Genomic DNA, 14,542 nt, shown 5'->3' with positions numbered 1-14,542 from the left:
AACATAATTCTTTAACACCCCTAAAAGATCGTATCAGCTCACCAGCAATGGATCAAAACCAAAACAAAATCTCTGAATTGTCAGAAAAATAATTTAGAAGGTCAATTATTAAGCTAACCAAGGAGGAGCCAGGGAAAGGTGAACTCTAACTTACATAAATCAAAAATATAATACAGGACATGGAAGGAAAAATCTCCAGTGTAATAGATACCATAAATTTTTTAAAATCACAACTTCTGGAAATCAAGGCACACTTAGAGAAATGCAACACGCACTGGAAAGTCTCAGCAATAGAACTGGAAAAGCAGAAGCAAGAACTTCAGAGCTCAAAGGCAAGACTTTCTAATTAACCCAATTCATCAAAGACAAAGAAAAAAGAATTTTAAAAAATGAACAAAGCCTCCAAGAAGTTTGGGATTATGTTAAGCATCTAAACCTAAGACTAATTGGTTTTCCTGAGGAAGAAGGGAAATCTACAAGTGTGGAAAACATATATGAGGGAATAATCAAGAAAAACTTCCCTGGCCTTGCTAGAGATCTAGACATTCAAATACAAGAAGCTCAAAGAACACCTGGGAAATTCATTGAAAAAAGATCATCACCTACGTTTTAAGGAACCCTCAAAACCATGCAAATAAGCACATAGTTATCAGGTTATCTAAAGTAAAGACAAGGGAAAGAATCTTAAGAGCTATGAGGCAAAAGCATCAGGTAACCTATAAAGGAAAAGCTATCAGAATAACAGCAGATTTCTCAGAAGAAATCCTGAAAGCTAGAAGGGATCAGGGTTCTATTTTTAACCTCCTTAAACAAAGCAATTATCAGCCAAGAATTTTGTATCCAGCAAATCTAAGCTTCATGAATGAAGGAAAGATACAGTCTTTTACAGACAAACAAATGCTGAGAGAATTCGCCACTACCAGCCCCACTCTACAAGAACTGCTAAAACAAGCTCTAAATCTTAAAACAAATCCTCAAAATACACCAAAATAGAACCTCTTTAAAGCATAAATCTCACAGGACCTATATAACAATAACACAATGAAACAGACAAACAAACAAGACATTCAGGCAACAAATAGTACTAACATTGAATGTAAATGGCTTAAATGCTCCACTTAAAAGATACAGAATGGCAGAATAGAGAAGAATTCATCAACCAAATTTCTGCTGTCTTCAGGAGACTCATCTAACACATAAGGATACACATAAGCTTAAGGTAAAGGGGTGGAAAGAGATATTCCATGCAAATGGACACCAAAAGCAAGCTGGAGTAGCAATTTTTATATCAGACAAAACAAACTTTAAAGCAACTGCAGTTAAAAAAAAGATAAAGAAGGACATTATATAATGACAAAAGGACTAGCCCAACAAGAAAATATCACAATCCTAAACATATATGCACCTAACAATGGAGCTCCTAAATTTATAAAACAATTACTACTACACCTAAAAAATGAGACAGATAGCAACACAATGATAGTGGAGGACTTTAATACTCCACTGTCTGCACTAGTCAGGTCACCAAGACAGAAAGTCAACAAAGAAACAATGGACTTAAACTATACCCTAGAACAAATGGACTCAACAGATGATTACAGAACATTCATGTGCTACAGAATATACATTCTATTCATTAGCACATGGAACATTCTCCAAGATAGACCATATGATAGGACACAAAACAAGTCTGAGTAAATTTAAGAAAATCACAATTATATTAAGTACTCTCTCAGACCACAGTTGAATAAAATGGGAAATCAACTCCAACAGGAACCCTCAAAACCATGCAAATACATAGAAATTAAATAACCTACTCCTGAATGATCATTGGGTCAACAATGAAATCAAGATTAACATTCAAAAATTCTTTGAACTGAATGATAATAGTGACACAACCTGTCAAAACCTCTGGGATACAGCAAAGGCAATGCTAAAAGGAAAGCTCATAGCCTTAAATGCCTACATCAAAACATCTGAAAGAGCACAAACAGCCAACGTAAAGTCACATCTCAAAGACTTAGAGAAACAAACCAAACTCATACCCAGCAGAAGAAAAGAAATAATGAAGATCAGAGCAGAATGAAATGAAATTTAAACAAAAAAAATGCAAAAGATAAATGAAACACAAAGCTGGTTATCTGAAATGACAAATCAAATTGATAGACCATTAGCAAGATTAACCAAGAAAAGAAGAGAGAAGATTCAAATAAGCTCAATTACAAATGAAAAAAGAGATATTATTACTGATACTACAGAAATAAAAAATACTATTCAATTCTAGTATAAACACCTTCACACACATAAATTAGGAAACCTGAAGGAGATGAATAAATTCCTGGAAATATATAATCCTCCTAGATTAAACCAGGAAGAAACAGAAACTCTGAATAGACCAATAACAAGCAGCAAGATTGAAATGATAATTAAAAAAATTACCAACAAAAACAAATCCAGTACCAGAGGAATTTACAGCTGAATTCTATCAGACATTCAAAGAAGAATTGGGACCAATCCTATTGACACTATTCTACAGGATAGAGAAAGAGGGAATCCTCCCTAAATCACTCTATGAAGCCAGTGTCACCCCAATACCAAAATCAGGAAAGGACATAACAAAAAAAGAACACAACACAACACACCAATATCCCTAATGAACATAGATGAAAAAATCCTTATAAAAATACTAGCTAACTGAATCCAAAGCATATCAAAAAGATAATCCACCATGATCAAATGTGTTTCATACCAGGGATGCAGGGTTGATTTAACACATGCAAGCCAATTAATGTGATACACCACATAAACAGAATTAAAAACAAAATTCACATGATCATCTCAATAGATGCAGAAAAAGCATTTGACATAATCCAGCATTCTTTATGATTAAAACCCTCAGCAAAATAGGAATAGAAGGGACATAACTTAAGGTATTAAAAGCCATCTATGACAAACCCATAGACAATATTATACTGAATGGGGACAAGCTGAAAGCATTCCCCCTGAGAATTGGAACAAGACAAGGATGCCCACTTTCAGCACTTCTATTCAACATAATACTGGAAGTCCTAGCCAGAGCAATCACACAGGAGAAAAAAATAAAGAGCATCCAAATTGGTAAAGAGGAAGTCAGACTGTCACTGTTTGCTGATGATATGATTGTATACGTAGAAAACCCTAAAGACTCATCCAGAAAACTCCTAGAACTAGTAAATAAATTCAGCAAGGTTTCAGGACACAAAATTAATGTACACAAATCAGTAGCTCTGCTATACACCAAAAGCAACCAAACGGAGAATCAAATCAAGAGCTCAACATCTTTTACAACAGCCGCAAAAAAAAAAAAAAAAAAAAAATTAGGAATATACCTAAACAAGGAGGTGAAAGACCTCTACAAGGAAAAGTAAAAAACACTGCTGAAAGAAATCATAGATGATACAAACAAATGGAAACACATCCCATGCTCATGGATGGGTAGAATCAATATTGTGAAAATGACCATACTGCTAAAAGCAATCTACAATTTCAGTGGAATTCCCATCAAAATACCACCATCATTCTTCACAGAACTAGAAAAAAAAATCCTAAAATTCATATGGAACCAAAAAGAAGCCCACATAGCCAAAGCAATTGCTAAGCAAAAAGAACAAACCTGGAGGCATCACATTACCTAACTTCAAACTATGCTATAAGGCCATAGTCACCAAAACAGAATGGTACTTGTATAAAAATAGGCACATAGACGAATGGAACAGAATCAATAACCCAGAAATAAAGCCAAATACTCACAGCCAACTGATCTTTGACAAAGCAAACAAAAAAACATAAAGATGGGAAAGGACACCATATTCAACAAATGGTGCAGGGATAATTAGCAAGCCACATGTTGAAGAATGAAACTGGATCCTCATCTCTCACCTTATACAAACATCAACTCAAGGTGGATCAAAGACTTAAATCTAAGACCTGAAACCATAATGATTCTAGAAGATAACATCGGAAAAACCCCTCTAAACATTGGCTTAGGCAAAGACTGCATGACCAAGAACCAAAAAGCAAATGCAACAAAAACAAAGATAAACAGATGGGACTTAATTAAGCTAAAAAGCTTCTGCACAGCCAAATAAGCAATCAGCAGGGTTAACAGCCAGCCCACAGAGTGGGAGAAAATCTTCACAATCTATACATCTGACAAAAGACTAAGATCCAGAATCTACAAAGAACTCAAACAAATCAGCAGGAAAGAAACAAAAAATACCATCACAAAGTGGGCTAAGGACATGAATAGACAATTCTCAAAAGAAGATAGACAAATGACTAACAAGCATATGAAAAAATGCTCAACATCACTAATGATCAGGGAAATGCAAATCAAAACACAATGTGGTACCACTTCACTCCTGCAAGAATGGCCATAATCAAAAAATCAAAATAATAGATGTTGGCATGGATGTGGTAAAAAGGGAACACTTTTACACTGTTGGTGGGAATGTAAACTAGTACAACCACTATAGAAAACAGTGTGGAGATTCCTTAAAGTACTAAAAGTAGGTCTACCATTTGATCCAGCAATCTCACTACTAGGTATCTACCCAAAGGAAAAAAAGTCATTATATGAAAAAGATATTTGCGCACACGTTTATAGCAGCATAATTTGCAATTGCAAAAATTTGAAACCAGCTCAAATGCCCATCAATCAACAAGTGGATAAAGAATATATATGTATATATGTGTATATATACATCTATATATGTATATGTGTATATATATACATATATATACACCATGAAACACCTCTCAGCCACAAAAAGGAACTAAATAAATAATGGCATTGGCAGCCACCTGGATGGAACTGGAGACTATTATTCTAAGTGAAGTAACTCAGGAATGAAAAACCAAGCATTCTTATGTTCTCACTATAATTGTAAGTTAAGCTATTAGGACACAAAGGCATAAGAATGATACAATGAATTACAAGAATGATACAATGAATTTTGGGGACTTGGGGAGAAATGTTGGGAGAGGAGTGAGGGATAAAAGACTACACAATTAGGTACTGTGTACACTGCTTGGGTGAGGTGCACCAAAATCTCAGAAATCACCACTAAAGAACTTATTCATGTAACCAAACACCACCTGTTCCCCAAAAACCTATTGAAATAAAAAATAAAATTTAAAAAGGAGACATTACTGTAGAGAAAGTGTAGAAAACTGTTTCATTAATTACTGATAAGAGCATTCTCTTCTAATAGACTGCAAGGATTAATTAAAATACTTTCACAAATGAATTATATTTATTTTAGCAAGTGATTGTAAAAAAAAAGAGATTGTCAAATGTTAGTTCTTTCCAAATTAATTTATAAATGCAACATAAAGTCAATTAAAATTCCAGTGGGAAATTGTAGACACAATCCTTTACAGTTCTTTCTCTACATCCACAAAACAATGTTTAATCGATTTTTATTTGCCATATTCATTGCTACAAAACTAGGGTCAAGAACATATAACCTCTCTTAAAAATAAATATCTCTGCGGATCAGAAACTGAACAGAAAGCTGGAGGTCGCATCTCAACCTGTTGGCTGGTGGGTGCTGGGTTTAAATTCATAAAGACAGCTATGAATTTGACTACCCATCAAGTTACCATGAGTTTGCTGTAGTGGGAAAAAAGAAAGATAGATGCCTGGGGCCTTGTAACACAGTGCTGAAAAAAGAATGGGATACGAGGACATCCATATTAGAAGGCACAGCACAGGAGTGGTATGTGGAGAAAGAATCACCAGAAACTGGCTATGAAATTAAAGGTCTAAGATTTTAGTTTGTGATATTGAGCCCAGTTTGCTGTTAGGGTAAACTTGATAGCACACAAATCAAAGAGCAAATTGAGCACAGAGAGGTTTAGAGCAGGGGATTTCTTCTTGCAGTAGAGAGAAACATCATTAACATTAGTCCTGATCAGAGCAGGGGAAAAAGGAAGACACACTACCACACAGGTGCAGAAAGGGGCGTGAAGGCACCATGCCCTGAATGTTCCCAACCAAGCACACAGTTTAGAAGGAGGTGAAGAATCAGGTGCCCTGTGAAATGGGAGTGAAAGGGCCCAGGTAAGAGTGACATAAAGGAATGCATGAGTGTATGTTACCCACAGAGCCTGCAGGGGTCATCTGGCCTCAGGCAGCCTCTGAGTGTGCAGGGTGCCCAGGGACCTCACATATGTTAAAGCAAGGGGAATAAACATCTTGCCTACTCCCCTAGAGGCCGCTTTCTTGGTTTTTAATGTGTTCACTGCTCCCACCCTGAAGGAGTCATGACCACCTGAAAGAGGAAGTCTGGGTGGTAAAAAGAGGGAAACCATCTGGCCACTTAGGCTGATGGGAACATTTGAAGTTTTATCCAGAGGAGAATAAAGAAGAACCACCCCTTGGCCATTTCCTGCTCCCCTGAGTTCCATCTGCAGAGAGGAGCTGGGCACTTCCAATCCACTCTGATACCTCCCAGGGACGTCTGCCTTTGGCTGCTCTGTGATAAGACCTCCAAGGCCCTTTACTCCAGCTGGAAGTACTGAGCTCAGTTTATTCATATTTGGAAACTTTTCCCCACATCAGAGGAGTGGTAATTGGAAGGTAAATTTGGAGGAAAATGATGTTTTCAAATTTTATTCCACGGGACTGAGGGAAAATGCTGGGGGTTCTCTGGGCTTATTATCTCTTTAAGCAACAAAAATGATGAAATCTGTATCTTACCCCATGGGAGTCCTGATGATAGCATGTCCTGAAGTTAGAGAAACTTCACCATTCAGCATTTTGAAAGTCGTGCTCTTCCCAGCTCCATTCACCCCTAGAAGTCCAAAGCACTAAGAGGAAACAAAGTTAAGTAAAGCACATTCAATCAAACAAGCTAAATAAATAGAACAAGTTAAATAAAATCAAAATTATATCAGAAACAGCACTTGCTTTTAGCCAACTTTGAGTTGACTTTGCTGGTTTGTGTTATTTATGGAGTTTTAAAATGACAATAGTGTATAAAACACTGTATAGATTACAAAGTCCTCTCAAAATCATCATGGCACTTGAATGGTATAAGAATTTCAGCAGTAATTTACAGACAATAAATTCATGTGTGGAAAACTCAAGAGGATGAGAAGTAAATGCCAACTACCCCCAAATTATGCAGAGATAATATAATATTCTTAGGAAGTCACATCATTATAATTATTATTCTCCTAATTTCATTTTTGTGTATTTTAAAGTATTTTCTTAAAAGATTCCATCTTCTACTGTATATACATATGTGTTTGTCTGTGTATGTGTATGTGTGTGTGTAGTGCTCACAGCTTTCTTATATATCTTCTTTTTCCATTGAAGAGCCTGTAAATTCCTGCAAATTCACTCCTAACTCAGAGTCTAAGCTAATCTTGATATTAATTAAAAGAGAAACTCTCGTTCTATATTCTGACATTGAGCATAGAGTCAACTCAGTTCTTGATCAAATCTCGCCTTACAGCCAATGTGAAAAATGGCCTTCTTGCTGTCTTTTCTACACTTTGTCTCTATCATGTGCCTCAGCATATACTGTGCCTGAGAGTCCACCTTGGTGACAGTGTCTCTCTGGTTCTGTCAATCTCCTTCCAAGACAGCTGTTTTCTGATGGCTAGGAGCTGCGATCTATGGATACAAACTGGCTTCCTGGCTCCTCAAATCTTGGAAAGTGACTGCTTCTGGATTTTCTGCCACCAAGCCCCACCTAACCATCACCTCACCCTATTTTGGACCTCTGAATTTCACAACCCCATGAGTTGCCATCTGCTTCAATTACCATGTTTTCCCCGCTTTCCCTGCATCTCTCCCACCATTTGCAATATGAGTCCGTCTCCCCCAGGCCTACCCTGTCCATGTTCCAGGGTACACCACCATCAGCCTATCCAAATTCTACCAACGCTTTTAGGCTTAGCTATAAACCACATTTTTAATAAAGCTCTCCCCACATACCCTGTCCTCCCACCTTTCCTTCCCTGCCTGCACAGCCACCCTCTCTGGACTGACAGCATTGAAGACAATACCACTCATGCACCTTTCAGTTCTTTTTAGAAAGTACTTTAATATATACAAAAATGAAATTGGGAGGATAACAATTATTATGATGCTGTGACTTCCAAAAAATATTACATTATTATATCACAGTCCCTGCCTTGGGACAATGCTTATGCTCCCATGTAACATAGTACATGCTTATGATATTTTGTTTCCTAACTGATTATTAATTTCTAGATGGAGAAGGATATACAGTCAATGATAGTTCAGGCAATGATGAACTGCATATACAATGGTCATCTTACAAGATGACAATACCATATTTTAACTGTACCTTGTCTATGTTTAGATACACAAATACTTGCAATTGTGTTACAATTGCTTACAGTATTCAGCACATACTGTATAGATTTGTAGCCAAGGAGGAATGGGCTTACCATACAGCCTAGGTGTGTCGTAGGCTATACCATGTAGGTTTGTGAAAGTATATTATATAATGAAATCACCTAATGACACATTTCTCAGACAATATCCCCATTGTTAAACAACACAGGACTGTATCTTAGTCATTTCTGTATTTTCCACAGACTTTTGCATAGCACTCTCCATCTAGGTAATTAAACTGTAATGCTTATAAGAGCTTAAGATAATAAAATCTAACTTTAAATGGCATCTTGGACCATTTAAGATACCTGGAGCATCATTCTGTCAATGTTTTACAAGTTTATCTCTTAGCCCTGTTGGGACTCAGAAAATAATACCCCAAAGTGAAGGCCCCAAAGGCAGCCTCAGAATCAAAAGTTTTACTCTGACCTTTTCCTGCCCTGCTGTCTCCGGCCCCTCCTTCTCCCCTGAGGCTGGTCATAGAAACTAGAACCTCTTTTCCCCAAAGCCACCATAAAACCAAAAATATTACCCTAACTTCTCCCCTTTTACATATTTTTCAGTACAAAAATTACCCCTAAAGAAGTTATCTGTCCTACCTTGTTTGACTGTAGGTCATAAGACAGACCTGCATTCCAGAGAGGGTCCTGCCCCACACCCACAAGGAAGAAACAGAAAACCAAACACTGCACATTCTCACTTATAAGTAGGAGCTGAACAATGAGAACACGTGGGCACAGGGAGGGGAACAACACACACTGGGGCCTGTCAGAGGGATGGTGGGAGGGAGAGCATCAGGATAAATAGCTAATGCATGTGGGATTTAATACCTAGGTGATGGGTTGAGAGGTGCAGCAAACCACCACAGCACACATTTACAACTATGTAACAAACCTGCACATTCTGCAAATGTATCCCAGAACTTAAAATAAAATTTTTAACAATAAAAATAAAACATCATAAACATGTAGATAATAACTCAAAAAAAAAAAAAAAAAAAAAAAGCGCATCTAAACAGAGAGGCCTTGCTGGGCTTCCCCTCTCAGCCTAATAGCATTAATTGGGTCATACTCTTTTTGTCCAACCATATTTCTACATGGCTGTCCGTACTTGGTTGAACCTAAGCATAAAAACAGACAGTTTCCCTGTATCTTTGGGTCTTCATTCTGAAGGCTCTCGTATCACGTAAAACTATAATCAAATAAATTCATATGCCTTTTTCCTGTTACTCTGCCTTTTGTCAGTTGATTTTCAGTGAATCTTGGCCCTCCCACACCCCTTTGCCTCAAACTACTATGGAGAGGTACCGGCAAAACTATAATAATCATGATTTTTAAAGCAAGGGTACAAAAAATAGTTCAATAAGATGGGTAAGATTGCATAGCCAGTCTTAGAGCAGAAGCTAACAACTACTAAAAAAAAAAATCCTTTCTTAACATTTTGTTCTAATCTACCAGAAATCATAGTTCAGAGAGTAAGAATATGCCTGCATTACTTCAGATTGATCTCTCGGCTTCTCTTTACCTCAGAATACACATATCTGAGACACCTACTGTCAGATCACAAGTAGAATATAGATACCAATCAGATAACAATATAACCTATTTTGAATTTCTCAGGAGCTGGGAACCGTATGAATGCAAGGTGCTCTTTTATTTTTAACAGTTAATTGAAGGCAATCACTTCCAGAACTGATTTCCCTTTACACATTAAGCATAAATCAGGAACAATTTATATGGCTTCTGTCAGTTCTGATTAAACATTATAACTAGAATTAATGTCTTACCTGTGAACAAAAATTCCTGAGCTATTGCTAGGTGGATGAGTGTTCTTTACCTTTTCTGAGTAGCATTTTGCCAGATGGGCTTAATTGGACACTTAGAGTACTGATGTCCCAGTAAGAGATAAAAGTGGTTCCTTAATTAGATTCAAAAAAATATTTGCTCAACAAAAAGTTATCCCATAGCCCAAGTCATAATTAAAACTATGCAATCACATGAAATTTTTAACATTATAAAACAAAATAAATCCTATCAATCAGCCAAGTTTTTACTATGAAATAGTCAACAGACCCTCTATTTGGTTCTGCTCCTACTGATTTTGTAGGAATTTCTAAAATTTGAAGGCTATTTTTGGCTCTGATTTCAAATATTCTGAGACTAACACAAGCAGATCAGCTACTAGAGTTGTACAGGTTCACAACAGAAGAAGATTAAAAATAGAAGCTTCATTACCTCTCCTTTTGGTATGCCCAAACTAATATCTTGCACAGCAATAATATTCTGGAAAAAGCGTCGATAATGTTTACTAAGGTTGTATAACACAAGAATGTCTCCATTGGTCCTTCCTTCAAACACTCTCTTTTCCTCTTTTTCAACATCTGTATCCTTAGAAGATTTGACTGTGCCTTGGAGAGTAGAATGACCCCTGGGAAGATGAAATCAGAGTGAATTCACACCTAGCAAATGATACCAGAATAGTCTAGAAGAGGCAAAAAGGTCAGAGATTTGTAAAAAATTGAAGATATCACCTTCGGACTTCTGGGCAGTCAGCTTTGTCCAGAGCACCCCAGTTCTGCCATCCTGATTATCAGGCAAGAATCCATTTTTTATTGTCTAACATAAATGAAATATATACATTCCTAAAAGATACTGAAATGAATTGGCACTAAACTAGAGCTAGTTTTTAATTTTATGAATAAGATCATGCCAGATTAATTGTACTAAATGTTAAAATAGCTTATCACAAAATTATTATAAGGCATTTACTTATTAAGTGCTTTTTACTAAACAAGTCATTTAATAATGTAGATTGTATATAAAAGTACTGAAACATTGTAAGTTTATAGTATATGTTGAATCGCATAAAAGGATTATATAACCAGCACTTTGCACAATACTTTGCAAAAAGTATTCAGTAAGTATCTATCAGAGGAATGCAAATTTAATTTTCAACTCTTATTTTCTCTAAATCTGAGCTGCTCACTTTTTAATCTTCTTTCTAATTTGCAATCTGACACATTTAACTTTCCAATAAATTTCAATTTCCCCTATAAACTATAATATGCCAACATTTTAATTATTATATTTAATCATTTAAAATATATTTAATGATTATATTTTAATGATAACGACTGAGTTAGTATCATAACCAACATCAATTACCTGGCTTTGACAGTGTAAATTGCCATGTAATATATTATTATATTATCATTGGGAGAAGCTGGGTGTAAGGTACATAGCAATGTTCGATAATAATTTTACAACTTCTTCTGATTATTAAACTATTTCAAAATAAAAAAGGTATTAAAAATAAAATCCAATATCCATGGCAAGCTCCCAGTATCCCCAGCAACTTTTCTTTATTATTTTTCCACATATAAAATCACCATTTGACAATATATAATTTATTCTACAGAGAACATAGACGATGAGAAAAATATAGCTAGATACTCAGAATTCTATCTTACATGACCTCATTTATATAACGTTCAAAGGCAAGAAAAATGAATCAATAAAAATAAAAATAAGGATTGCAGTTACCTAGGGTGCAGCTATTGATGGAGAAGTTTATGAGAGGCCATCTGAAGTGTTGGCAGTATTCAGTTTATTAGTGAGAGGGGGCTACATCAATGTGTTCAATTTGTGAAAATTCATTGAATTTTACACTTTTCTGTTTGAATGTTATTTCCCTCTCCCAGATGAAGGTGTGTTTATTGACCTTTCACCCTATCCTGGACTTTTGGAAGTCTTCCCACTCCAACAGGAAGTTGTGCCACTGTATTCCCTCCTGCCTGGCAGAGTAGTATTCACAGTAACCCACATCAGCTTGCTCATTCTCTCCTCAGGAGGATTACCTGGGAAGCTTTATGAACAGCTCCTGGGTCTCATCCCCAGAGCTTCTCATTGCAGAGTTCTAGGGAGGGGCCCAGGTGTGCACATTCATTTAAATCTCTTCAAGTAATTCTGGTTGGTGGAGACAATTGACTGAGCTTACTTCTGGTCCACCCACTCACAACAATCCAGTGTCCTAATACAGGAATCCAACTATGCCCAGAAATGTGCCACTTAGTTATCCTCTAACTGAAAATGACTAACAAACGATCCCTGTATTAAATAGGAAGAATTCAGATGGGACCTAGGTATAGCAGAACTTTCCAGATATGCAGCATATCTCATATCTGAACAGTGTGGCTGTTCCAACCCAGCCAGCACCTAGGGTACAGACAGCAAAAGTGCAGCTCTAGGCAGGAGACAAAATAGGCAGGAACTAGGGCTCAGGTCCTAATGGAAACCTGAATTCATGGCAAACAACCCAAGGCCAGCAGCAGGACAGTGGGACAGCTGGACAGGAGTCAGCGCAGGTTAGGGAAGGACAGCAAGGAAGTGGGATCTCAGCACTCATGTCCAGCAGTGGGTGCAGGTGACAGGGGCCCTGCTCAGGCTGGGAAGGCAGGATCTATCCATTCCCAGTTGCACAGGGCAGGGTCTCCCTATTTTCTTGCAAGATTCAATTATGAGTAGCATATCGATACCATAAACCAACATAGATGTGCCCTAATAGAGAAAGAGGGCGTAACAGAAACACGGAGAAGGCATCAGCCCAGCCCCAGAGGCAGGGCAACAAATATCCCTGTGGGATGGGAGGAGGATCACAGACACCTTCACTGAGCAGAAGGCACCACACTTCAGGGGGGCTTGCTAAGAACCTTGGGCTTTACCTTTCAAACAATGATTAGTGGCTTAGTTAGATCTGGGTCTTAAAAGTAAATTGACTGGGTCATGCAGTCATTATGACAGTTATCCATAAAATGGTAGTAGGCAACTAGTGTCTAAATTCACTTAAATTTCTATGCTCTGTAACCTTCATGTAGAGAAAAAAATTGACTCTTTACTGTGGGTAACAAGGATATTATTCTAAAATACAATTCAACTTATACTTACAACTCTAGAAAGTAAAGGTAATACAGATTTTTCTCTTTAAAGAAAAATCTTTTGATACTATAGGAAAATGGAGTACCCTGAAATCTGCCAAGGGGGATCCTACATTACAGTTTTATAAAATAGACTAAACTAGTAAGGGACATCAGAGAACAAATTATGTTTAAAGGGCACTCTGCATTTTACTCCAGGTTCAGTCAGCTATTGGAAATCTGCAGACTCCAGGGTGATGTGGCCAATTCAAAAGCACATTGGGATTTATACTCAAAACGGTGTCTATTTTACTTTATTAAAAGGGGTTATGTAACAAAATATGTCAGGAAATGGCTGAAAGGAAAAATAATTCTATGAAGAGATCACCATAAATTATTAATCATGTGTCTTTATAATCCTTAATAGATTTTCTAGTGACATGGTCTTAATTGGTAATTTCTCCAAAAAGGATCCCTCCCTCAAGTAGAGGTCAGACGGAAATACATAGCCCTTGGAAAGAGCAGGCCAATGAATTCAGGCCACTTGGGTATGGGGGGGAAGCCAACCATTGTGGACCCTACACAGGAAAGCACATTGCTTCCTTATGCAGTTCAAATGTTTTATCTGACAATATTTCAGATATCCTTTCAAGGCCACATTAAATCCTATTTATAGTAGTAGGAATGCATGTGTGTGCATGCATGTGTATAAACCACATTATATATCTACATGTCTACACATGCCCCATGCTACTGACTTTCGACCTCACCTGACAAAGATCAGAGTACAGCAGCATAAGCAACAAGATCCAGCAAAGGACACACAGACATCTGTACTGAATTTTCCTATCTTCCTGCTCCCAGAGTTCTTGGCATTTAGTTGTAAAAATAATGTTATGGTATTAACCAAATTTACCTTAGCTGCTTCAAAGTAACAGAGAAATTCAGCAATTTCAAAGTGAAAATATGTTCTCACTCATAGGTTGGAATTGAACAATGAGAACACTTGGACACAGGAAGGGGAACATCACACACCGGGGCCTGTTGTGGGGTGGTTGGAGAGGGGAGGGATAGCATTCAGAGATATATCTAATGTAAACGATGAGTTAATGGGTGCAGCACACCAACATGGCTCATGTATACATATGTAACAAACCTGCACATTGTGCACATGTACCATAGAACTTAAAGTACAATAAAAAAAATTTTAAAAAAAG

At 37.0% G+C, this 14,542-nt stretch overlaps 1 protein-coding gene across 13 annotated transcripts in view; it reads right to left on the bottom strand.

Moving 5' to 3' along the window:
- ABCA13 (ATP binding cassette subfamily A member 13) overlaps positions 1-14,542 on the bottom strand; it is a 476,040-nt gene that overhangs the window by 112,410 nt on the left and 349,088 nt on the right. For all 13 annotated transcript variants that reach the window (XR_926914.3, XR_926915.3, XM_011515130.3 and 10 more), the window contains 2 exons: positions 10,648-10,840; positions 6,743-6,852 (listed from right to left, as the gene is read on the bottom strand). Coding sequence is in view for 11 of the 13 variants with exons in the window: in XM_011515130.3 (XP_011513432.1) it covers positions 6,743-6,852; positions 10,648-10,840 (303 nt within the window). In the remaining 2 variants the exon portion in view is untranslated. The remainder of the gene's footprint in view (positions 1-6,742; positions 6,853-10,647; positions 10,841-14,542) is intronic.

The sequence above is a fragment of the Homo sapiens genome, chromosome 7 (assembly GCF_000001405.40).
Source record: "Homo sapiens chromosome 7, GRCh38.p14 Primary Assembly".
Taxonomy (NCBI): Eukaryota; Metazoa; Chordata; class Mammalia; order Primates; family Hominidae; genus Homo; species Homo sapiens.
The sequence above is the reverse complement of the archived record's forward strand: the minus strand, read 5'-3'. Positions and strand labels throughout refer to the sequence as shown.